The sequence below is a fragment of the Homo sapiens genome, chromosome 14, assembly GCF_000001405.40.
Source record: "Homo sapiens chromosome 14, GRCh38.p14 Primary Assembly".
In the NCBI taxonomy this organism is placed as follows: Eukaryota; Metazoa; Chordata; class Mammalia; order Primates; family Hominidae; genus Homo; species Homo sapiens.
The window spans coordinates 77,719,114-77,745,376 of record NC_000014.9 but is presented as its reverse complement, the minus strand read 5'-3'; the positions used below and the strand labels follow the sequence as shown (position 1 = coordinate 77,745,376).

At 39.7% G+C, this 26,263-nt stretch overlaps 1 protein-coding gene across 3 annotated transcripts in view; it reads left to right on the top strand.

Annotated features, from left to right (window-relative positions):
* The window catches only part of SNW1 (SNW domain containing 1), a 43,558-nt gene that overhangs the window by 15,780 nt on the left and 1,515 nt on the right, over positions 1 to 26,263 (top strand). For 2 of the 3 annotated variants that reach the window (NM_012245.3, NM_001318844.2), the window contains exons 4-12: positions 6,316 to 6,411; positions 6,493 to 6,599; positions 8,302 to 8,406; positions 9,371 to 9,440; positions 10,365 to 10,430; positions 12,776 to 12,892; positions 14,248 to 14,389; positions 22,100 to 22,196; positions 24,549 to 24,666. In NM_012245.3, coding sequence (NP_036377.1) covers positions 6,316 to 6,411; positions 6,493 to 6,599; positions 8,302 to 8,406; positions 9,371 to 9,440; positions 10,365 to 10,430; positions 12,776 to 12,892; positions 14,248 to 14,389; positions 22,100 to 22,196; positions 24,549 to 24,666 — 918 coding nt within the window. The remainder of the gene's footprint in view (positions 1 to 6,315; positions 6,412 to 6,492; positions 6,600 to 8,301; positions 8,407 to 9,370; positions 9,441 to 10,364; positions 10,431 to 12,775; positions 12,893 to 14,247; positions 14,390 to 22,099; positions 22,197 to 24,548; positions 24,667 to 26,263) is intronic. The other variant, XM_047431112.1, reaches the window with a different exon arrangement.

The following is a 26,263-nucleotide window of genomic DNA, read 5'->3' as shown; positions in this document are numbered from 1 at the left end:
CTACTTGTAGTTCCCATAATATGACACATTCTCTCTTGAGACTTCCCATGGATATTCTTTTTCCTAGAAAGTTCTACCCTTATTCATTCTCTGACTTAATTCTATTGCTTTCCATTCTCAGCTCACTCTTCACTATTCCAGGGTGTTGTCCTGGACCTTCCCTGGCTAGACTGAGTGTCCCTCTTCTCTACTCTCAATGTTTATCATAGCAGTCTTCACCTTTTGTTGTAATTATCTGTTCACTCATAATCTGTATCATTTGACTATAATGTTTTTAAGGGCAGGGATTATATATTTATATTTCCGTCTTTGGTGCCTTACTTACTGCCTGAAAGTTTGACACATAAGGCGTCCACCAGTGTTTGTTCAGCAAATAATAGTGGTTTCCATTGTATAACACAAAACCACTTCTGAAGCCAGTGAGGAAGTGTAGTCCACTCCTGCAAAAGGAAAATTAGGCCCCTATACATGGAGAACATATACTGGAAATTTACTCTATACCATGGAGGCCTTCACTTGACTTCAGTTGCCTTTGTTTTGGTGCATTTCTCCTTGGGGGTAATCACTCTTCTTTATTGGTATGTGCTACCTCTCCAGTCCCATTTGGTAGGAAAAAACAACATCTAAGGGCAACAATTTGGCATTGGCAGGTTGTGTTATTTTGAATGAAATACAGCTTTGGTCCGTTTTGCATTATATTTCAAGACTGGAAAGCAGGAGTTTTATCTGATTTCTAGGGAATGATGTTTAAATCACTGTCTGTATTGGTGATTATTTTGTATTCAAAATAGAGTAGAACTGTTCAGACTGAACTATCTATTTTTGGAGTTTAGTATCTTGGCCAAATAAGGTCTCCAAAGCATTGTTCCTTGTTTTTTCTCTTTTTTTTCTTTTCTTTTCTTTACTTTTCTTTTTTTTTTTTTTTTTTTTGAGATGGAGACTTGCTCTGTTGCCCAGGCTGGAGTGCAATCTTGGCTCACTGCAACCTCTGCCTCCCAGGTTTAAGTGATTCTTCTGCCTCACCATCCCACGTAGCTGGGATTACAGGCGCACACCACCATGCCCAGCTAATTTTTTTGTATTTTTAGTAGAAACAGGGTTTCACCATGTTGGCCAGGCTGGTCTTAAACTCCTGACCTCAAATGATCCATCCTCCTCAGCTTCCCAAAGTGCTGGGATTATAGGCGTGAGTCGCTGTGCCCAGCCTATGCTATTTTCTTTTTTTCTTTTTTTTTTTTTTTGAGATGGAGTCTCACTCTGTCACCCAGGCTGAAATGCAGTGGCACGATCTTGGCTCACTGCAACCTCCCAAAGTGATGGGATTACAGGCATGAGCGACTACACCCGGCCAGATCGTTGCTTTTGTCTGTAATGCAGCCACTAGAAACAAACCCCAAACTGGGACCACTCTCAGGTTTATATCTTTTTGTTTGTTTGTTTTCTAGAAGTGGATAGATTCATGCATGAAGTTTGGAATGCATTGAGTAATTCAACATTAATCAAGTAACTATTATGTGCCATTGGCACTGGGGGAGCACTTTGATTGTTTAGGACCATCTTCAGCATTGTACAATGTTTAGCATAAGTGGCACTACCTATAAATCCCAGTAGCGTCCCCATCCTACCCCCATTGTCTTAACTAGAAACACCTCACACATTTACAAAGGCACTGGGAGAGAGGAGTTAGAGGTGGCAGTGATGCCCTGTTTGACAATCACTGATTTTCCTGTTTTAGAAGAAATAGAAATGGACTGCATAATATATAAAATAGGATTTAAAAAATTTGTTATTCCAGAGACTGAACAGGTTATTGGATTTATGAATTTGGACTAAGATTTCTGATTTGCTTCCGAGAGGTCTGGTATTCTTCAGAAACGAGGGAGTTCTCACTGAAATATTAATAGTGAATGAGTAAGAATGGAAAATACTAGGTGTTAGGTATAAGAGGTGAGAAGAATCAGTGAGGATTCTAAGACGTAATATTCTAGGACAAGTCTAAGGCAATTCTCTACATGTGAAGTAAGTACTGTGTATACGACTTATTAGTCATACAAAATTGGGGATGAAAAAGTTTTTTTTAGTGTAAATCTTGATACAACCAAATGCTTTTTTTTTCCTAATTATGAAAGTGATAAATCTTTTTTTTTTTTTGAAACGGAGTTTTGCTCTTGTTGCCCAGGCTGGGGTGCAATGGCACGATCTCAGCTCACCGCAACCTCTGCCTCCCGGGTTCAAGTGATTCTCCTGCCTCAGCCTCCTGAGTAGCTGGGATTACAGGCATGTGCCACCACGCCTGACTAATTTTGTATTTTTGGTAGAGACAGTGTTTCTCCGTGTTGGTCAGGCTAGTCTCCAACTCCCAACCTCAGGTGATCCACCCACCTCGGCCTCCTAAAGTGCTGGGATTACAGGCATGAGCCACCACACCCAGCCAAGTGATAAATCTTGAAATAAAGGGCTTGGTGTATGTATTTTTCCCTCTGAAATAGTTATGTAAGAAATACTACATACAGGCCAAGTGCATTGGCTCATGCCTGTAATCCCAGCACTTTGGGAAGGTTGAGGTGGGAGGATCATTTGAGGCCAGGAGTTTGAGACTAGCCTGGGCAATATAATGAAACCCTATCTCTTAAAGAAACGAAATGTTACACACGTACTATACCCAAAAGAATGCCTTCAACGTATTACCCCTAAAAAACCGTAACAACTTTAAACTGACCCCATGATAAATTATATGTTATCTTGTTTGTATGATTTCACACACTAGCTAAGCTAGATTAGCGTTTTCTTTCTACCTCACATAGTGAATGTTTTGACAGGCTTATCCTTTTAGTCAGTCTAGTTCTTTGCCAGTTTTCTGTAATAAAATATCTGTTTCACAGATGAGTTACTACTTTATCTTGTTGACAAAGCTTATTTGTGCTTCTGATACTTTCAAGAGTATATTGTATTTTTCAGAAAACGCTCCCCAGCCCATTTGCCTCCTGGTACTCAGTTTCCTCAGCACATTTAATTCTCAGACTATAAAAATTTGGGGTTTTGGCCAGGTGCTGTGGCTCACGCCTGTAATCCCAGCACTTTGGGAGGCCGAGGCGGGTGGATCGCCTGAGGTCAGGAGATCGAGACCAGCCTGGCCAACATGGTGAAACCCCATCTCTAATAAAAATACAAAAATTAGCTGGACGTGGTGTCATGCGCCTGTAATCCCAGCAACTTGGGAGGGAGGCTGAGGCAGGAGAATGGTTTTAACCCGGGAGGCGGAGGTTGCTATGAGCTGAGATCACGCCATTGCACTCCAGCTTGGGCAACAAGAGCAAGACTTCGTCTCAAAAAAAAAAAAATGGGGGGTTTTATAATTAATTACTATGGAGGAATCTTGCTCTTCAGATGTCCTTCACTCAGCCTTGTGAGATACTAGAATCTTATTGATGCTCATTTGAAGGGTTATTAACTTTGGAATGCCCAAATAAGGAGCAGCAAATGACTCTTGTATGCTAAATTAGTATTGACACTTTATGTTGAACATACATGACTACCAGGGAGCCATTTACTTAGAATCCTTTCCTTATAACCGTTGCTATGGAGAAGTGATAAACTCCTCATGATTAACTCTTCATAGAATTGGTATTTTTTTCTTGTGTTGTTATATAATTTTCAGCTTAGGGTTGTATAGGTTTTTCCATGCTGAGAGGAAATAAGACTTTTGAGGTCAGATAGTAGCTGTATGATCTTAATGTACTGAACCTCACTCTTTTCAGTAGAGTGAGCTTTATGGTCCCTTCCAAAATCAACACTCTTAGAGTATGGTGACACTAATAACTCACATATCAGTAGTACGTGTTTTGTGCTAAATCATCTTAGGCTTTCTTACCTGATCCCTCTTCTCACTCCTGAGAAAAACAAGCTGGAGATTTTAGTGTATAGCCATGAGATAGTTTTTTCTGGGAAATCAGTAGCTTATAGAAAGTTCTGTACGGCCTAAAATATAAACTTATTTATTTATTCATTCATCCATCCATTCTTTAAAATAGAGATAGGTCTTGCCATGTTGCCCTGGCTGGTCTCGAATTCCTGGGCTCAAGCTATCCTCCAACCTTGGCCTTCCAAAATGCTGTGATTACAGGCGTGAGTCACTGTTCATGGCCTATAAACACCTTTAGCATGTAACAGAATATCTCTAAAATTCATTTATTTATTCATTTGTACAAAAAATATTGATCAAATATCTCCAGTCATTATTATAAAGCACAGGAGACACTTTTTTTTTTTTTTTTTTTTTTGGAGACAGTTTCACTCTTGTTGCTCAGGCTGGAGTGCAATGGCATGATCTCGGCTCACTGTCACCTCCGTCTCCTGGGTTCAAGCGATTCTCCTGCCTCAGCGTCTCATGTAGCTGAGATTACAGGCACCCACCACCATGCCTGGTTAATTTTTCTGTTTTTGGGAGAGACGGGGTTTCACCATGTTGGTCAGGCTGGTCTTGAAATCCTGACCTCAGGTGATCCACCCACCTCGGCCTCCCAAAGTGCTGGGATTACAGGCGTGAGCCACCGTGCCCTCCCCGTTTTTATTGTTTTAATACGGGAGACAGATAATAACCATGTAAAGTAGATAATTTCATGCTGTGAACAGTCTTGATCACAGTAAACAGTGCTATGGAGCAAATGATTGGGTGGGGAGGGGTTACTACTAAGGCAATCAGAAGAAGCCTCGATAATGGAGGACCTTTGATCTGAGACACACAGATTGAGAGCTTACTTGAAGAATGATAAACAGAACTCTGTAAAGGCCTAGAATTGGGGAAAAGTATGTTATGTTCAAGAAACAGAAGATGAGCTAGTGTGACTGAAGCATAATGAGTGAGAGAGTGAGAGTTGTAAGGGGAGATTGAAGGCATAGGCAAAGTCAGGTCAAGTTGCATAAGCCATAAAGTGGCTCACACTTTTTTGCTCTGTTTGGAGTAGAAAATTAGAAATAGCATGCATTTCCTTTAAACTTTTTTAATGAATGATGTATGATAGACTTATTAATATAAGACTTTGGCTTGTAGTGGTAAACAGTTCTACAAAAAAAAATTCTGGAGATCTCAAGTGCCTAGGAATTTGATTTTCTTTGATATTTATAAGTTGTCCTTTCTTTTTATGTACCTCAAAGAATTTCTGACTAAAGCATTAAAGGTAGAATGCCTATTATTTATTGAATTTTCTGTATCTCTCTCTTTTTTTTTTTTTTTTTTTTTTTAATATACAGTGTCTTGCTCTGTCACCCAGGCTGGAGTGCAGTGACGCAATCTTGGCTTACTGCAAGCTCTTCCTCCCGGGTTAAAGCCATTCTCCTGCCTCAGCCTCCCGAGTAGCTGGGACTACAGGCGCCTGCCACCACAACTGGCTAATTTTTTGTATTTTTAGTAGAGACGGGGTTTCACCATGTTAGCTAGTATGGTTTCGATCTCCTGACCACATGATCCAGCCACCTCAGCCTCCCAAAGTGCTGGGATTACAGGCGTGAGCCACCGCGCCCGGCCCCTCTGTATCTCTTTTTTACTTTAAAATATGCCATGTAAATTGTTATGAAAATATTTAAGAAGTATAGATGGACCTGAAAGTAACCAGTATTCTATTTGTTAAGAGCCTACCACATCAGTGTCAGCCTAATAGAAACCATGTTGGGCATAGTAGAAGTCATATAACAGGCCTCAATTTGGATAATGGATATAAAATAAGTTGTATATATAGAATATATTTTTCTTTTTCTTTTTTTTTTTCTTTTGTCTTCTCATGGAAGAAAGCATTCTGGGTTTTTTAACTGTGGCACATGTTTATTTTCTTAGTCTGTGAATAGAGTTGATGGCAGAAAAGAGAAGCGTTATAAATAGGATGAGGTCAATAAAATTTTTCAGGCCCAGTGAATTTGGAAATTATTTGGTAACCTGACTTAAATTCTGATGAGTTTGTAATCCAGGTTAATGGTGCTATAGGCAATTTGTATTATCATTAATTTCAAGTTTTAGTGGGCCTCAAAAATAGTGATCATCAATGCATGATTTTGTTGGCATGGTTTATTTGGATACTAACTTGATTAGAAGATCTCAAACAATTTAAATGCATGAGGTCAAGGGAAAATTACTAACTTACAGCCAGGGTAGCAATTTGTTTATATATTTTAAGCTTCCTTGGTTTTAAAATCTAAAAGAGAAAATCTGAGTGTCCTAAATTTTTAAGTGTGCTGAGAGGGCATGTTGACATCTGAAATGGCTAATGAGGTTTCTTTTCGTTGTTTGCTTTTCTTAAGCCTGCTTGTGTTTGAACATTTTAGGTCATTTATAGCAAATACACTGACCTGGTTCCAAAGGAGGTTATGAATGCAGATGATCCAGACCTGCAAAGGCCCGATGAAGAAGCTATTAAAGAGGTAACTGGGAATTGATATATTCGATGACTATTTACATCCTGATTAACTTCCAAACTCTCAATGTGATATTTCCTATTTCAGATAACAGAAAAGACAAGAGTAGCCTTAGAAAAATCTGTATCACAGAAGGTCGCCGCAGCCATGCCAGTTCGAGCAGCTGACAAATTGGCTCCTGCTCAGTATATCCGGTATGAATCATGCCTAGAAGACTTAGTTTCATTCTGAACTTGATTCAGCTTGGGGGGTCATGGTATTCTTTCACTAACCCACTTAGCAACCATTATAAATGCATTGTTTTCAATAATGACTCAAAGCCTGTCTACTGTCTTTGCAGACAATTGAAAGCAGAATTTTTTAAGGTGTCCACTTTGGTTTTTGTTTGTTTTCTGAGATAAAGTTTCTGTGTTGCCCAGGCTGGAGTACGGTGACACCAACACAGCTCACTGCAGCCCCCACCTCCTGGGCTCAGGTGATCCTCCTGCCTTGATGCCACCATGCCTGGCTAATATTTTAATTTTTTGTAGAGACAGGGTCTCGCTGTGATGCTCAGGCTGTTTTCGAACTCCTGGGCTCAAGCAGTCCTCCTGCCTTGTCATCCCAAAGTGCTGAGATTACAGACTTGAGCCACCAGACTTGGCCTCTTTTTATGCTTTTTTTTGGGGTGGGGGACAGAATCTTGCTCTGTTGCCCAGGCTGGAGTGCAGTGGTGTGATCTTGGCTCACTGTAACCTCTGCCTCCCAAGAGATTCTTCTGCCTCAGCCTCCTGAGTAGCTGGGATTACAGGTGCCCACCACCATACCTGGCTAATTTTTGTATTTTTTTTAGTAGAGACAGGGTTTCACCATGTTGGCCAGGCTGGTCTCGAACTCCTGAACTCAAATGATCCATCCTCCTCAGGTCCCAAAGTGCTGGGATTATAGGCGTGAGCCACTGTGCCCAGCCTATGCTATTTTCTTTTTTTTTTTTTTTTTTTGAGATGGAGTCTCACTCTGTCACCCAGGCTGGAATGCAGTGGCACAATCTTGGCTCACTGCAACCTCTGCCTCCTGGGTTCAAGCGATTCTCCTGCCTCAACCTCCTGAGTAGCTGGGATTACAGGCTTGCACCACCATGCTCAGCTAATTTTTGTATTTTTAGTAGAGACAGGGTTTCACCACGTTGGCCAAGGCTGGTCTCAAACTCCTGACCTCAGATGATCTGCCCACCTCGGCCTCCCAATGTGCTGGGATTACAGGCATGAGCCACCCGGCCTGGCCCTATGCTATTTTCAAATTATATTTTTTGTTTTTAGAAATTAACAGTTACTTGTGGTATATGACCTAAATCACAATTATTATTTATAGTTTTCCATTTATAAGTAATAGATATCTTTATAATACTTCTAAATTTTGAGGCGTTTTACTTGACTAAATCTGCATAGAGAATTGAATCACATACAGATATTGAGGAAAAATTCAGAGCTGGTAGGGCTGCTGTCATTATTCTTTTCTCTGTTTTATAACCTATGATTAATCAAAAACTGCTAACCGTAAGTTGCCTGCTGGGATTATTATGAGTGTTTTTTCCTCAGATGCAGGCATACTAAATAGGTACTATTTTCTAGACTGCTTATCTGTGAAACTGAACACGGCACCTTCCATGTTGGAAAACATATGAGGATGGGTTATTTGCAAACTAATACCACTCAAGTTTATATTTTGACTGTAACTCATAATTTATGTTCTTTTATCCCTCTTGCTGTCTGCTTTGTCTAAATATTTTGTTAATTTTCTGTTAATACTTTGCGAAAGGAATTGAAAATGTAGTCTAGCTTAAGATTGTAATAGAAGGAAAATACCTACTGAAAGCTTGAACTAATTACACCTTTAGTTTTTATCTGCTTTCTTCAGATACACACCATCTCAGCAAGGAGTGGCATTCAACTCTGGAGCTAAACAGAGGGTTATTCGGATGGTAGAAATGCAGAAAGATCCAATGGAGCCTCCAAGGTTCAAGTAAGTGAAAAGGAATAGGCTACTAATACACACAATAACATGGATGAATCTCAAAACAATATGCTGAGTGAAAGAAGCCAGGCAAAAACAAGTACATACAGTATGATTCCATTTATCTAAAACTCCAGGAAATGCAAACTAACCTATAGTTACAGAAAGTAGATAGGTGGTTGCCTCTGGGGAAGGAGGTAGGGACAGAGAGGAGATGGGAGGGACAAGAGGAATAGGCAAGGGGCAAGCAGAAACTTTTGGGGATGATAGACATGTTCACTATCTTGCTTGTGATGATGATTTCACAGGTGCATATTTGTGTCAAAATTTAATCAAATCGTATGCTTTAAATATGTATAGCTAATAAATGTCAATTATCTCAATAAAGCTGCCTTTTTTTGTTTTTGTTTTTGTTTTTGTTTTTGTTTTTTGAGAGACAGTCTCGCTCTGTCACCCAGGCTGGAGTGCAGTGGCATGATCTCAGCTCACTGCAACCTCTGCCTCCTGGGTTCAAGCGATTCTCTTGTCTCAGCCTCCTGAGTAGCTGGGTTTACAGGCGTGTACCACAATGCCCAGCTAAGTTTTTGTATTTTTAGTAGAGACAGGGTTTCACCATGTTAGCCAGGATGGTCTCGATCTCCTGACGTCAGGCGATCTGCCCACCTTGGCCTCCCAAAGTGCTGGGATTACAGGCATGAGCCACTGCACCCGACCTAAAGCTGCTTTTTAAAGTGGAAAAAAGTATATTACTCTGCAAAATGACAATAATGTTGTGGAGGTGGGGTGAGTAACAGTTTCAAAGTTGGCCATGTTTTATTCATTGTCAAAGTGGAGTGGTAAATGTATATCATTATACAGTCTCTGTTTTTGTCTATGTTTGAAACTTTTATGCAAGAAAAAGGAGGAGAGACTTGATATGATGACTAAAAGGGAGGAAACTATATCACTCTCTGGTTGTGTTTTTATACTTCAGGATTAATAAGAAAATTCCCCGGGGACCACCTTCTCCTCCTGCGCCTGTCATGCATTCTCCTAGCCGAAAGGTATTCTTTGCTGTAGTCCAAAATATTTTTTTCTACTCATGGTTATTAATTTTATAGATAACCTCCCTATGCCTATACAGGTGCATGTCACCACACTGACTTGTAGTTTCTTTTTTTATTTTTCAAGATGAAGTTTCAAGAATGCTTATGAGAATGTATATAACATGTTAGCTGTAAGTTTTGTTATTAGTAATGCAAACCCTACTTTTAATGGAATGGACAGGGTCTGCTGTTTCAGTTTAAGGATGTTATAGGAAGTGAATATATGGGTTCATTAGGTCCCTGGTAATTTGACTTTTTAAGATATGTTTTGTTAATCAAAAGAACAATTTTTCATCCAAAAGAAGTCACATCGGCCGGGCGTGGTGGCTCACGCCTGTAATCCCAGCACTTTGGGAGGCCGAGGCGGGCAGATCACCTGAAGTCGGGAGTTCAAGACCGGCCTGACCAACATGGAGAAACCCCGTCTTTACTTTAAAAAAAATTAGCTGGGCATGGTGGCGCATGCCTATAATCCCAGCTACTTGGGAGGCTGAGGCAGGAGAATCACTTGAACCCAGGAGGCGGAGGTTGTGGTGAGCCAAGATTGCACCATTGCACTCCATCCTGGGCAACAAAAGCGAAACCCCGTCTCAATAAAAAAAAGAAAAAAGTCACATCACTTTAAATATGGAAAAATACTAGCCAACATTTATAACTGTCAAGAATAATTTCTAGATTATTTTCCATTTTTCACACTAGTTCAAAGTTATTACTAGAATTATATGGTAAACTAGTGCTAGCAAACAAATGGACTGCTGGCCTTTTACTACGGCTGTGCATATGTCAGTGTATATGGAGCTGTCTTTGAAGATAAAGATTATACTTAGATTTACTTTGTAGACTATAAATCTAAACTTGTCTCTTCTTTCCCTCTTCTCTCAGATGACTGTAAAGGAACAACAAGAGTGGAAGATTCCTCCTTGTATTTCTAACTGGAAAAATGCAAAGGTAATTAAGTTGTCAAATCAGTCTCTATTAGTATAACCTACTGGAAAACACCAGTAAAACAACTACAGCCTGCATAACTGTAGTTGAAACAACACGTGGTTTAACTGAGCATTTTCAAAAAGGAATGCCCAATTTGGTGACTTTTTTAATGTAATAGAAATGTTAGTATGCCAGGCACGTGAATACCGTGTCAGTTCCTTTTTTTTTTTTGAGACGGAGTCTCGCTCTGTCACTAGGCTGGAGTACGGTGGCATGATCTCAGCTCACTGCAGCCTCCACCTCCCAGGTTGAAGCGATTGCCCTGCCTCAGCCTCCTGAGTAGCTGGGACTACAGGCGCATGCCACCACGTCCGGCTAATTTTTCGTATTTTAGTAGAAACGGGGTTTCACCCTGTTGGCCAGGTTGGTCTTGATCTCCCGACCTTGTGATCCGCCGGCCTCGGCCACCCAAAGGGCTTAGATTGCAGGTGTGAGCCACCGCACCCGGCCCCATATCAGTTCTTTTAGTGAATTGTAGCTAGCAGAAGCACATAGAGAAGGAATAAGTAGAATAAAGTGTCATATAAATACAAGATGGTATTTAGAAAACTCAAATTTATATCTAAAAATTATTTCTAAAAGAAAGTAAACTGATGTAAAAGATTATATGACAAAAGAACAGAGTAAATGCTTGGATACTTTAAGTGCTTTAATATTCAACTACTGGGCTCTGTAGTAGTGAAGGCTTAAGCTATATATCTCTAATAATTGCCAAAGTTTCTAGGAGTTGTTAAGAATCTGTAGATTGTGGGATAGATTTGCTAGTTACTGTTTCATCTTCCCTGAATCATAGTTCATGATTTTATTTTTGATGGATAAAGAAGACCATTTCAGGTTTCTTAAGAGAATTTATATACTCACCCTAAACAAAGAGGTTGCCGACTGGTCTGATTTGAGTTGATTGGTATTTTGTAACTGGATGGTATCTTGAGCTGGTTCTATAATGCTTCATTTTATTATGAGACCATGGACTAAAAGTCAACATTTGAGAGACTAGTCAGATATCTGGAAAATAAAGCTAAGCCTGAAAGTTACATAGACATTCAAGTACAGTTCTTGAGTTATTGAAATGGGATGCAAAGTTTTAGAATGTAGAAATTCAGTTGTTTAGCAAACATTTTTTTTTCTTTTTTCTTTGGTTTTTTTTTTTTTTTTTTTTTTTTTTGAGACGGTCTCGCTCTGTTGCCCAGGCTGGAGTACAGTGGTATGATCATGGCTCACTGCAGCCTCAACCTCCCAGGCTCAGGCGATCCTCCCACCTCAGCCTCCCGAGTAGTTGGGACCACAAGTGTGCCCCACCATGCCTGGCTACTTTTTTGTATTTTTGGTAGAGACGGGGTTTCACCATGTTGCCAGGCTGGTCTTGAACTCCTGGGCTCAAGCAATCCACCTGCCTTGGCCTCCCAAAGTGTTGGGATTACAGGCTTGAGCTACTGCACCCAGCCTTTTTTTTCTATTTACTAAAACTTCAGGATTCTAAGAATATAACAGATCATTAAGACAGTACAGCAGATTTAACTTCCTATAGATGCTAAGATTATAGTGATTCTACCTTTGTTTGACTGTTAAATTTACTTGAGGAGCAACTGTTGAACTGTTTGACAGTGATTTCCTTTTATTAAAATCGACAATTATTAACACAAATATCTATTTTTCCAGAGCTTGGGTTCTGAAATCCTGCTGAGTTTAAATCCTAATCGCCCACTTACTAACTGTATGACCTTGGGGATGTTACCAAAGCATCAGTGAAATGGACACAATAATGTTAGAAGCTTTATAGAGTTATCGTGAAGGTTAAATGAGACCATAGGTGTAAGTGCTTGATCTTCTACATAAAGCACTCATTGATAGCTGCTGTTGTTTTGCATCATTGTGAAGAAAGATGCAAGGAAAAAGAACCTCCAGTTAAGTGGTTCTCAAAATGTGGGCATATTTAAATTTAATTTTAGCCAGGCTCGATGGCTCATGCCTGTAATCCCAGCACTTTGGGAGGCCAAGGGCGGATCACTCAAGGTCAGGAATTCAAAACCATCCTGGCCAACATGGTGAAACTCCGTCTCTACTAAAAATAGAAAAACTAGCCGAGTGTGTGGCGCACGCCTATGGTCCCAGCTACTCGGGAGGCTGAGGTAGGAGACTCGCTTGAACCCAGGAGGCAGAGGTTGCAGTGAGCCGAGATGGCACCCCTGCCCTCCAGCCAGGGTGACAGAGCAAGACTCCAGCTCGAAAAAAATAAAATTAATTTAACTTCAGACGATTAATTGAAGCACTTCTGTGACTGGGTTTTCTGTCTGCTTTCACTCTAGGGTTATACAATTCCATTAGACAAACGTCTGGCTGCTGATGGAAGAGGACTACAGACAGTACACATAAATGAAAATTTCGCCAAATTGGCAGAAGCCCTCTACATTGCTGATCGGAAGGTTGGTTTGTTATAATTTGTTTAATGCTCTTGTTACTTTTAAAATCCATTCTTGGTTACCTAAGGTACTGATAATTTAACTATAGTACCGAGCACCCAAAGAGAGTCTCACCCATGGTACGTGTGTCAGAAATGGCAGCTGCTAGTTGGCAGCTCTCTGCATGCTCCCAGCTTTTGTAGATGTGTACATACACCCCACAGTGGTGATCCGGCTCCCTCACAACATGTCAGAATAATGGTTTCCTAGGATGATCCCATTTTTTGAAGATTGCTAGGTTTCATAATTTTTGATTTCAAATTTTCCTCTATTTTAGATGTAGATGTCCCCCAAAAGGGCAGTTGCAGGAAAAGGCAGATAAACATTCTAATGAATTGAATAGTACATAAAATGGCGTTCATAGCATTGGCCATCTATTAATGTTACATAATGTATTAAATATTATGGAATTAGGCTGGGCACAATGGCTCATGTGTATAATCCCAGCATTTTGGGAGGCCAAGACTGGTGGATTCCTTGAGGTTGAGAGTTCAAGACCAGCCTGACCAATGTGGTGAAACTCCATCTCTACTAAAAATACAAACATTAGCTGGATGTGGCATGCACCTGTAATCCTAGCTACTTGGGAGGCTGAGGCAGGAGAATCTCTCGAACCCAGGAGGTGGAGGTTGCAGTGAGCCAAGAACGCACCACTGCACTTCAGCCTGGGCAGCAGAGTAAGACACTTCATCTCAAAAAATATATGTAAATATAAATATTATGGAATTAATATGTGATATTGAAGTTCACATGCATCATAGCATGTGTTTGGAACATAAAAAAAATGTCTTTTGTATCACAGTGAGTACCCTTATAAAAATTATCTAGCAGATGTAAGTTAAGATTTTATCTTGAGTTGACTTGATTAACTTTGAAAGTGTTATTAATTTTGAAAATGTTATTTTTTTGAGATGGATCTCACTATGTTGCCTAGGCTGGTCCCAAGCTCCTGAGCTCAAGCAGTCCTTCCACCCTGGCCTCCCAAAGTGCTAGGATTGCAGGAGAGAGCCACTATGCCTGGCTTTAATTTTGTTCTTTAGATTGTTTCTGAGAAAGCATTAGTGAAATACTTGACTTACAAGATTAATTGGGGTCACGATAGTTTCAATCACTAAAATATTCCCAGAGAAAAAAGCTGACCTTGCAGTGTCTTCCAGGCAGGATATCTTTTAGTGGACAAGACTCTTTGTTTTAATTAGCAATAACAAATCTGAATTCTGTATAATTGCTCTTACCAGCCAGATGTTAGGGAGTTGGATGATAGCCATAAATATTTATCCCATGATAGTGTCCTGTTTAACATGTGACTTTACCAACAGGCTCGTGAAGCTGTGGAAATGCGTGCCCAAGTAGAGAGAAAAATGGCTCAGAAAGAAAAGGAAAAACATGAAGAGAAACTTAGAGAAATGGCCCAGAAAGCCAGGGAGAGAAGAGCTGGGATCAAAACTCATGTGGAAAAAGGTATGACATTCTCATTACTGAATTGAATTTTGCTTGGTGAACAAAATATATCTTATTTTAGAAAATCTTTTTCCTACTGCATATAAAGTAGGTACATATAAACAAAATTTAGATACATCAGATATAGTGTAGAAATGGAGAGTAATCTCTGCCTTAGTAAGCTGAAGCAACAGGAGATAAGAAAAAAGTGGGTCTTCAGTTTGGGACTGTACCAGAAATTTTTAAACTTCTGAGCAGTGTACTTTTCAAAATTGCATTATTACTCAAATGATAGGCTTGATTTTCTCTTATCTTAATCTCAAAACTTAAGAGAAATTAGGTATCTAACAGAATAATTCAGCTCCCTCATATGGTGAAGTAATCCAGAGTTTTTCTATCTTGTAGGCTCCAATGCATTTCTCATCATTAAATCTGCCAGTATTTTCTCTCTGACTTTACTTAGTGGTCTACATTGGTGTATTAATTCAATTAGAGTGGGAAGTCGAGTCCTAAGTATAATTCAAGAAATTTTGTGAGGGTGGTTATTTTTTTTTCATTACTAAATTCTTACCTGGTACATTTATTCATTCTTTCATTTATTTAGTTCATATTGAGCATCTGCTGTGTGCAAGGTTCTCTTTTAGACACAAAGTGTTTTTGCTAGACAGTGGGTAGGGGGATGGGATATAACAGTCAACATTCTGGTGAGTGTAGACAGACAGAAATTAATCATGTAGTATAGTAAAAGGTAATAATTGCTGTGGAGGAAAAATAATACAGGGAAAGAGGATATAAAATTGCCAGAAGGTGAGAGTGGTCAAATAGCCCTCACTTCTGAGATGGTGCTGTTAGCAGAAATACTTGAAGAAAGTAAGGAAGCAAACCATGTGGATTTCTGGGGGAAGAGCATCCCACACAGAAGGGCCAGCAAGTACATGGCTCTGAAATGGGAGTATGCCTAGTGTGGCCCAAGGAAGAGCAGACAGGCCAATATGACTGGATTTGTATGAGAAAGAAGGGGATAAGTAGGAGATGAGGTGTCAGAATAGTTAGGGCAGGTGGGAAGAGTAGTGGCCAGATCATGTATGGCCCTTTAACCTAAAGATAAAGCTTTTACTACAAGTGAAAAGGGAAGCAATTGCAGGGTTTTGAGCAGAGTAATGACCTGACATACTGTTTTCCAGCTTTATTGAGGTACAATTGGCAAATAAAAATTGTATAAAACATACAACATGATGTTTTAATATACACTGTGAAATATTCACTACTGCCAAGCTAATTAACTTACCAGTCATCTCTTATAGTTACTTTTTAAATTTTTTGGTGAGAACACTTAAGATCTACTCTCTTGGCAAATTTCAAATATACAATGCAGTACTGTTAACTATAGTTAACATACAGTATATTAGATCTCCAGAACTTACTCATCCTGCATAAATGAGACTTTGTACCATATGACCATTTCCCCTAACATATATTTTTAAAAGACCTCCCTGGCTGCTGTGTTAAAAATAGAATACTGTGGAATGGGCATGGGCTAATGCCTTCCAAATAAACTGTAAGAGAGATAGTAACAAGAGGTAACAAAAACATGGTCCCATATTGGATGTATTTTGGTAGTAGAGTTGACAAAATTTGTTTGTGGATTAGGTGGAGATACGAAAAAAAGTAGGAGTTAAGGATGACTCCAGAACTTTTATCCTAAGCAGTTGGGAAGGATTAAATTGCCAATTGCTCAGGATAAAAGTAAATATTACTTTTATTTACTAATATTGGGAAGACTGCAGGAGGAACAGGTTTGGGAGGGAAAGATGAAGAATTTATTATAGTTAAGGATATGTTAAGTTTAAGATGGAGGTGCCAGGTAATTGGTTACAAGAGTCTAGAGTTCAACCATAGGGAAATAACCAGGGTTTTAAGTAGTGATCCACTTCCCTCAGTTATATATGAATGACTTAATAAGGTGAGATATAAATACCTGCCTGGTTGTATACCTAACCATAGAAGATAATTAGAAGTAAAACTTACTGCATTTGAGTTCTCTAAACTAATAAGAAAAAGACAACAGAATCGTTCTCAAGAAATTAAAAATTTTAATGAATCTCTTGCCAGATAGTAGTAAAAACTAACATTTATCAGGTGCTTCTTATGGTGGGCACCACTCTGAGTACTTTATTTGCATTATCTCATAATCCCTGGGATAACCCTATGTAGTGATACTATTATTGTGACTGTTTTACAGAGGAGGAAACTAAGGCTTATAGTATTAAGTAATCTGCGCAGGTCACATGGTTAATTGGCTATAGAAACAGGATTTGAATCCAGACAGGCTTGCTCCAAATCTTATGCTCTTAACTGTACTCCATTCCCTCAGACTGGCGAGGGTAGAAAAAAATGAAGATAGATATAAATGCAGTGGAAATCAAGATCCAGCCAGCCCCTAAGGGAAATAAGCTGACAGTTCTTTATTCAATAGAATCTTTGAAAATATAAGGGAAACATTATGCATAATTCCTTTTTTCTGACTTTTTTATTATTATTATTATTTGGTTTTTTTGAAACGGAGTTTCGCTCTTGTTGCCCAGGCTGAAGTGTAATGATGCAATCTCAGCTGACTGCAACCTCCGCCTCCTGGGTTCAAGCAATTCTCCTGCCTAAGCCTTCCAAGTAGCTGGGATTAAAGGTGCCCATCACCATGCCCAGCTAATTTTTTGTATTATTAGTAGAGATGGGGTTTTACCATATTGGCCAGGCTGGTCTCAAACTCCTGACCTCAGGTGATCCACCTGCCTCAGCCTCTCAAAGTGCTGGGATTACAGGCATGAGCCACCACACCCAGCCTTTCCTGACATTTTATTATGAACATTTTCAAACATACAGAAAAGCTGAAAGAATTATATGATGAACACCCGTATCTCCTACCACCTAGATTCTACACTAATTTTTTTTTTTTTTTTAACAATTAACATTGCTCCCATGAAAGAAAAGCTCAGGATTTGACAGCTTCACTGCCGAATTTTTCCAAACATTTAAAGAACTAAATACCAGTTCTACTCAGACTATTCCAAAAAATTGAAGAGAAGGGAATGCTTCCAAATTCATTCTACAAGGTCATTAGTATACTGACACCAAAACTAGACAAATATACAACAAAAAAGAAAACCACAGGCTAACATCCCTGATAATCTTAGATGCAAAAATCCTTAACAAAATTCTAACAAACAGATTTCAACACATTAAAAAATATCATTCATCATAATCAACTGAACTATCCTTCATCCCAAGGATGCAAAGATGGTTCAGTATATGCAAATCAGTAAATGTGATACATCACATTAATAGAACCAAGAATAAGAACCATAGCATCATTTCAGTAGAAACTGAAAAAGCATTTGAAAAAATTCAACATCCCTTCATGATAAAAACTCTCAACAAAGTGGGCTTAGAAGGAACATAACTAAAAATACTTAAGGCCATATATGACAAACCCACAGCTGACATACTGAATGGAGAAACATTGGAAGTCTTTACTCAGAGATCTGGAAGAAGGCAAGGATGCCCACTTTCACCACTGTAACTCAACATGGGACTGGAAGTCCTTGCCAGAGAAATTTAGGCAATAGAAAGAAATAAAGGGCATCCAGATTGGAAAGGAAGGCCAGGCACAGTGGCTCACACCTGTAATCCCAGCACTTTGGGAGGCTGAGATGGGCAATCACTTGAGGTCAGGAGTTCAAGACCAGCCTGGCCAACATGATGAAACCCCGTCTGTACTAAAAATACAAAAATTAGCTGGGTATGATGGCGTTCACCTGTAATCCCAGCTACTCAGGACGCTGAGTCACAAGAATTGCTTGAGCCCAGGAGGCAGAGGTTACAGCGAGCTGAGATCATGCCACTGCACTCCAGCCTGGGCAACAAAGCAAGACTTCATCTCAAAAACAAAAAAAAACAAGACATCAAATTATACTTTGTCAGAGACAGTATGATCCTATATTTAGAAAAACCTAATGATGCCACCAAAAAACTTAAAACTGATAAACGAATTCAGTAACATTACAAGATACAAAACCAACATACAAAAATCTGTAGCATTTCTATATACAAATAGGATACCCAAGCTGAAAAACAAGAAGGCAGTCCCATTTATAATAGCTACCAAAAACTACCTAGGAATAAAGGTTTTTTTTTTTTGAGACGGAGTCTCACTCTTGTCACCCAGGCTGGAGTGCAGTGGCATGATCTCAGCACACTGCAACCTCCGCTTCCCAGGCTCAAGCAATCCTTGTGTCTCCGCCTCCTGAGTAGCTAGGACAACAGGCGCACACCACCACGCCTGGCTAATTTTTTTTATTTTTAGGAGAGATGGGGTTTCACCACGTTGGCCAGGCTGGTCTCAGACCTCAGGTGATCTGCCTGCCTCAGCCTCCCAAAGTGCTGGTATTACAGGCATGAGTCACTGCACATAGCCTCCTAGGAATAAACTTAACCAAAGAAGTGAAAGATCGCCACAAAGAAAATGATAAAAGACTGATGAAAGTAATTGAAGAGGCTGGGCATGGTGGCTCACACCTGTAATCCCAACACTTTGGGAGGCCAAGGCAGAAGGATTACTTGAGGTCAGGTGTTCAAGACCACCCTGGGCAACACAGTAAGACCCTATCTCTTTTTAAAAGAAAAAAAATTAAATTTTAAAAACAGAAATTGTAGAAGACACTCTAAAAATGGAAAGATAGCCCATGCTCATGAATTGGAAAAATTATTATTGTTAAAATGTTCATACTACCCAAAGCTAGCTCTAGACACAATGCAATCCCTATCAAAATACCAATGACATTCTTCAAAGAAATAGAAAAAACAATACTAAAATTTGTATGGAACCACAAAAGACCCCAAATAACCAAAGCAATCCTGAATAAAAAGAAAAAAAACTGGAGGCATCACACTGCCTGGCTTCAAAATATACTACAAGGCTATAGTAACCAAAGCAGCATGGTACTGCCATAAAAACAGACACATAGACCAGTGGAACAGAATAGAGAACCCAGAAATAAATGGATCGGCTATAAATGCATGGAATTTTTGATTGTTTGGAGACAACGTCTCACTCTGTCATCCAGCCTGGAGTGCAGTGGTGTAATCTTAGCTCACTGCAACCTCCGCCTCTCAGACTCAAGCTATCCTCCCACCTTGGCCTCCCAAGTAACTGGGACTAAGGCACGCACCACCACGCCTGGCTAATTTTTGTGTTATTTTAGAGACAGGGTTTTGCCATTACACCCAGGGTGGTCTCAACCTCCTGGCCTCAAGTGATCCACCCGCCTCAGCCTCCCAAAGTGCGTTACAGGCATGAACCACCACCATGCCCAGCCAATGCGTGGATTTTTAACGCTGATGCCCAAAGCATACATTGGGGAAAGGATAGTCTCTTCAATACATAATGCTGTGAAAACCGAATAGTCACATGCAAAAGAATGAAAATAGACCTCTTATTTCTTATCACATACAAGAATCAAATCAAAATGGATTAAAGACTTAAATGTAAGGCCTGAACTATGAAACTGCTAGATGAAAACACTGGGGACATGCTTCAGGACATTGGTCTGGACAAAGATTTTTTGGGTAAAATCTCAAAAGCACAGACAGCAAAAGCAAATATAGACAAATGGGATTGCGTCAAGCTGAAAAGCTTCTGCACAGCAGTCAACAGACTGAAGAGGCCACCTACAGAATGGAAGAAAATGGTTGCAAAATATCCATTTAAGAAAGAATTAATAACCAGAATGTACAAGAACTCAATCGCAAAGAAACGAGATAATCTGATTTTAAAATGGGCAAATGATCTGAATAGACGGTCTCAAAAGAAGACATACTTATGGCCAACAGGTGTATGAAAAAATGTTCAGCATCACTAATCATCAGGGAAATTCAAATCAAAACCACAGTGAGATATTATGTCACTCCAGTTAAAATGGCTATCATTAAAAAGGCAATAATAGATGCTGGCGAGGATACAGAAGGGGGGGAACACTAGTACATTTTTAGTAAGAATATAAATTAGTACAGCCACTATGGAAAACAGTATGGCAGTTCTTCAAAAAACTGAAAATAGAGCCACTACGTGATCCAGCAATTCACTGCTGGGTATATATCCAAAAGGAAATCAGTATATCAAATCAAAAAGGGATATCTGCACTTCCATGTTTATTGCAGTGCTCTTTACAGTTACCAAGATACGGAATCAAGTTGTGTCCAGTGGGTGAATGGATAAAGAAAATGTGGTCTATATACACAATGGGATATTACTCAGCCATAAAAAAGAATGAAATCATGTAATTTGCAACAATATGGATGGAACTGAAGGTTATTAAGTGAATAAGCCCGGCACAGAAAAACGAATACTGAATCTTCCCACTTGTATGTGGGAGCTAAAAAAGTTGGTCTCAAGGAAGCAGAGAGTAGAATGGTGGTTACCAGTGGTTGGGAAGGATGTTGGGGACAGGGAATGAAGAGAGATTGGTTGATGGTACAGAAATACAGTTAGAAAGAGTAAGTTCTAATGTTCCTAGTACAGTGGGGTGAATAGTTAGTGATAATTTATTGTATATTGCAAAATAGCTAGAAGAGAAGAATAGTTAATGATAATTTATTGTATATTGCAAAATAGCTAGAAGATTTAGAATGTTCCCAACACAAACAAATGTTTGAGGTGATGGATATCCTAATTACCCTGATTTGATTATTACACATTTTGTTCATGTATCAAATATATATACCCCATAAATATGTATAATGATTATATATCAAAAATAAATTTTAAAAGCAATTAACATTGATAAATTTGCTTTATCACATATTTGCCCATCTTTCTGTCCATCTGTCTGTCCGATTTACTGCATTGCATTTCAAAGTAAGTTGAAGACAGCAATACATTTTACCCTTAAATATTTTAGCCGCATGCTTGATTCTAGAATTCACATTCAAAAATTAAACTAATATCATTTATTAGACTTAAATTAATTGCAAGTAAGGTTTAAAAGGCTGAGTGTGACTACAAAGAAGTTTGGAATTTTCTAAGGTTAAAAAATATTCTCTTGTTCAGAATATTGGCTGGGTGCGGCAGATCACTTGAGGTCAGGAGTTTGAGACTAGCTTGGTGAAACTCCATCTCTACTAAAAATAAAAAATTAGCCCGGCATGGTGGTGCACACCTGTAATCCCAGCTACTTGGGAGGCTGAGGCAGGAGAATCGCTTGAACCCGGGAGGCAGAGGTTGCGGTGAGCTGAGATCGCGCCACTGCATTCCAGCCTGGGCAGCAAGAGCGAAACTCCGTCTCAAAACAAACAAAATACTAATGGGGCTGAGTGCAGTGGCTCACACCTGTGACTCCAGCACTTTGGGAGGCCTAGGTGGGAAGATCACTAGAGCCTGGAGTTTGAGACCAGCCTCGACAACATAAGTGGGACCCCATCTTTACAAAAAATTTAAAAATTAGCCAGGCATGGTGGCACACATCTGTGGTCCCAGGTACTCGGGAGGATGAGGCAGGAGGATCACTTGAATCCAGGAGGTAGTGGCTGCAGTGAACCATGTTCATGCTACTACACTCCAGCCTGGGTGACAGAGTGAGATGCTGTCTCTTTTTAAAAAATTATATATATACACACGTGTACACGTATGCACACATATAATACATATTACAGTGAAGTACTTTTCAACTGTTCACACAGAGGATGGGGAGGCACGTGAGAGGGATGAAATCCGGCATGACAGGCGAAAAGAGAGACAGCATGACCGGAATCTTTCCAGGGCAGCTCCTGATAAGAGGTAGGTGTTATTTAAGATGTGTACCAATCATGGTGGCCGGGCGCAGTGGTTCACCCCTGTAATCCCAGCACTTTGGGAGGCCAATGCGGGCGGATCACGAGGTCAGGAGATCGAGACCATCCTGGCTAACACGATGAAACCCTGTGTCTACTAAAAGTACAAAAAATTAGCCGGGCATGGTCGTGGCAGGCGCCTGTAGTCCCAGCTACTTGGCAGGCTGAGGCAGGAGAATGGCGTGAACCCGGGAGGTGGAGCTTGCAGTGAGCCGAGATCACGCCACTGCATTCCAGCCTGGGCGACAGAGCGAGACTCCATCTCACAAAAAAAAAAAAAAAAAAAAAAGATATGTACCAATCATGAAGAGTGGCCTTTTTGTACCTTTTAGAGCAGAGTTTTAGTCCACTAAGATCAGTTTTGCTTCTCTCCCTTTCTTCTTTAGTTTGATAACTTAATAAATTAGCACTTAATTTTCTTGTACTTAACTACTTTGTCTTAGCTCTAGTTGACTGTCTTTGGAATTAATCTTCCATCACTTAAGTCAGAATTGAGAATGATGGGAATATAGAAAACGGAATCGAGATCAGATTTTTGAAAAGGATGTAGTAGTAAATTTGGACTGTTATAGTCCGTTCTTTTTCTACCTCAAATGGTGAGATAAATGGATTATGTGCCTCTTTAGACAGGAAATAAGCTTTCATGCTTTTATTGAGATCATTTTATATGCATAGTACTGCATCTAGTACAATTGAGGAGAAGAGCAGTTTTGAAAGAAGTAGAAAATCAGCTCATTTTTAGGAGTAGTTTAACTTACAGTTCAGAAAGACAGAGCTATCCATAAAATAATTTGAGAAAATTTGCAAAGCACTCTTAGTAAGTATAAACGTATAGAACAAACTAAATATATATATGAGGGCATAGAGTAAAGTAGGAATTGGGGAAGTTTATGGCTCACCAAAGGCTGAGGACTAAAAGTTCTGAAAAGTAGAGGGAACGCTGCAATACTAAGGTGGAATTCTGAGTGAGGGTTAAATGCAAATATAGAATATTTTCTTCCCAAATGAACAGTTTTCTGTGCTCTGATCATCCCATGAGCCTAATACATTTTTCAAGTCATATTTTAAACACAAAAAAGAGGCCGGGCACAGTGGCTGACACCTGTAATCCCAGCACTTTGGCAGGCCAAAGCACGCGAATCACTTGAGGTCAGGAGTTCAAGACCAGCCTGGCCAACATGGTGAAACCCCATCTCTACTAAAAATGCAAAAATTAGCTGGGTGTGGTGGCACATGCCGGTAGTCCCAGCTACTCGAGAGGCCGAAGTGGGAGAATCACTTGAACCCTGGAGGCGGAGGTTTCAGGGAGCCAAGATCGTGCCACTGCATTCCAGCCTGGGCGACAGAGTGAGACTCCGTGTCATAAAAAATAAAAAATAAAAAAATAAAAATAAATAAGCATGAAAAAGATTCCTGCTGGTATTAATTGGCATATTTCATCTCCCTGGATAAATGATGTCATGGAGAAGCAAAGACTCTTACTCTTGAGAGTTGAGGGTAAAGTACATGTAGAAGGAGGAGCAAAGTGTGAAAGTGTTTAATTAATGACAGTCTTGGTTAGTAATTCCTAAGTTGTAAAAGTTACAATGGCTCTGTGGATAAATTGGGCCCTCAAAACGAGTAAAGTGGCTATCAGAATTGACAACATAGAAAAGCTGTGAAATTGTAACTGGATGAAAATCAAACAGCCTATAGAAATCATTTTGTGACCTGAGTTTTTAGTAAAACAAGTAATGACAGTTACCATGGTTTCATTGGGATGTAGGTTGCATATATAATGCAACAGCCAGGAAACCAAATTAATCTGAATGTCAAAAATCATACTAATTCAGTCATTGACATGTTTTCCTCAAAATTCTAGTGGGATAAAATTACTAAATGTGGTTAGATAAAAGAGCTGTTTCTAGCTTATTTAAAATGTTTCGTGTGCTACATCTAAATTGTATCCACTTCCCCAACCCCCAAACCATCATATAATGATAGTAAATATAGACCATAGCAATTTTATATCTCAGCATGGTTGTAAGGTGATTGCTTATATTAAAGAATTCCATGTCAACGAATCTGTTAGATGTTCTTTTGAGCTAACAGGACGTCCTAATTGTAAAACTCTCCCTCTAATCTGAAATGCTTTATAAGGGCTGCCAGCTTGATTATGTATCATCAAGGAATATATGTTCACAAGATGTGAATGTGACATATTCACATCCTTTGTTTCTGAGATTGGTTGTATTTCTATTGAACATATTCAGCTTGTCTATAAAGAGTTTTCAGTTAGTGATGTCGTATTTCAAAATAGGTCGAAACTTCAGAGAAATGAAAATCGGGATATCAGTGAAGTTATTGCTCTCGGTGTTCCTAATCCTCGGACTTCCAATGAAGTTCAGTATGACCAAAGGCTCTTCAACCAATCCAAGGTACAAGTTTAGGAACAGCATATTGTGTGTGTTGATGTGAATACCTATCCTCAGGGAAACGAAAATTAACATACTTTACATTTGGATGTAAATGCCAGCATGATGACAAAAAAATTGGAAGTTGTATGTTGAAACTTGAGACAAGATGAAACAGTTCTGATTTTAACTTCTTATAGTGGGCTGAGATTTGAGACACTAGGAGAAGAAAGAAATTAGGTGATTAAAAACTTGGTGTTGTGGTATGTCAACCTTTTGTTTCTAAAATAGAACCAGGGAGGCCAGGCATGGTGGCTTTTGCCTGTAATCCCAACACATTTGGAGGCCGAAGCGGGCAGATCACCTGAGGTCAGGAGTTCACAACCAGCCTGGCCAACATGGTGAAACCCCATCTCTACTAAAAATACGAAAACTAGCCAGGTGTGGTGGTGCACGCCTGTAATCCCCACTACTTGGGAGGCTGAGGCACGAGAATTGCTTGGTGAGCCAAGATTGTGCCACTGCACTCTAGCCTGGGTGACTGAGACTCTATCTCAAAAAAATAAAAGAGTCAGTGTCCTACAAAAGTGCCTCTTGGGTTTTTTTGTTGTTGATTTTTGGATTTTTCTTTTAATGCTATAGAAATATATCAATTTGGGATTCTTTTAAAAATGAAGCTGTAAAACGGGATTAAAGTACTAGGCTGGCTGTCAGGAAATCTGATTTCTAGTACCAATTGCCATTAGCTAACTAGGACACTTTAAGCCTGGGAAAACACACGCGGGCGCATGCGCACACACAAGAATACAGAAGTGTAAGTTCTACTGGAAAGTAGAGTGGGAAACTTAATTATGACTTGGAGGTTTTAAGTAAGCTCTTCTAAGTGATAATTTATTAGATGCATTTTATATTCTTGGCATTGTTCTAAGTCTTGTTATTATCTCAATTCTTACAAAAATCCTATGAAATAATACTATTATCTCTTATGTTATAGATGAGGAAATTGAAACACAGGTTTAGCTTGTGACTGATGGAATTAAGATTCAAACTGGGTGTCTTGATTTCAAAGTTTTTTTTGTTTGTTTTTGTTTTCTGATATGGAGTCCCACTCTGTCGCCCAGGCTGGAGTGCAGTGGTGCCATCTCGGCTCACTGCAACCTCCACCTCCCAGGTTCAAGGGATTCTCCTGCCTCAGCCTCCTGAGTAGCTGGGATTATCACAGGGCATGTGCCACCATGCCAGGCTAATTTTTGTATCCTTAGTAGAGACAGGGTTTCATCACGTTGGGTCAAGCGGGTCTTGAACTCCTGACCTCGTGATCCTCCTGCCTTGGCCTCCCAAAGTGCTGGGATTACAGGCGTGAGCCACTGTGCCCAGCCAATTTCAAAGCTTTCTTAACCACTATACAATGGCAACTTACCAGCTGAGCAAAGGGATCTAGGGGTGAAATTTCACGTAAGTAAATATTTTCAAGATAATCACCTGTTAGAAGCTTAAGCTTAAAACATTTAAAAATTGTGATGAAAATATTTCTGGCTGGGCACTGTGGCTCACGCCTGTAATCCTAACACTTTGTGAGACCTAGGCAGGCAGATTGCTTGAACCCAGTTTAAGACCGGCC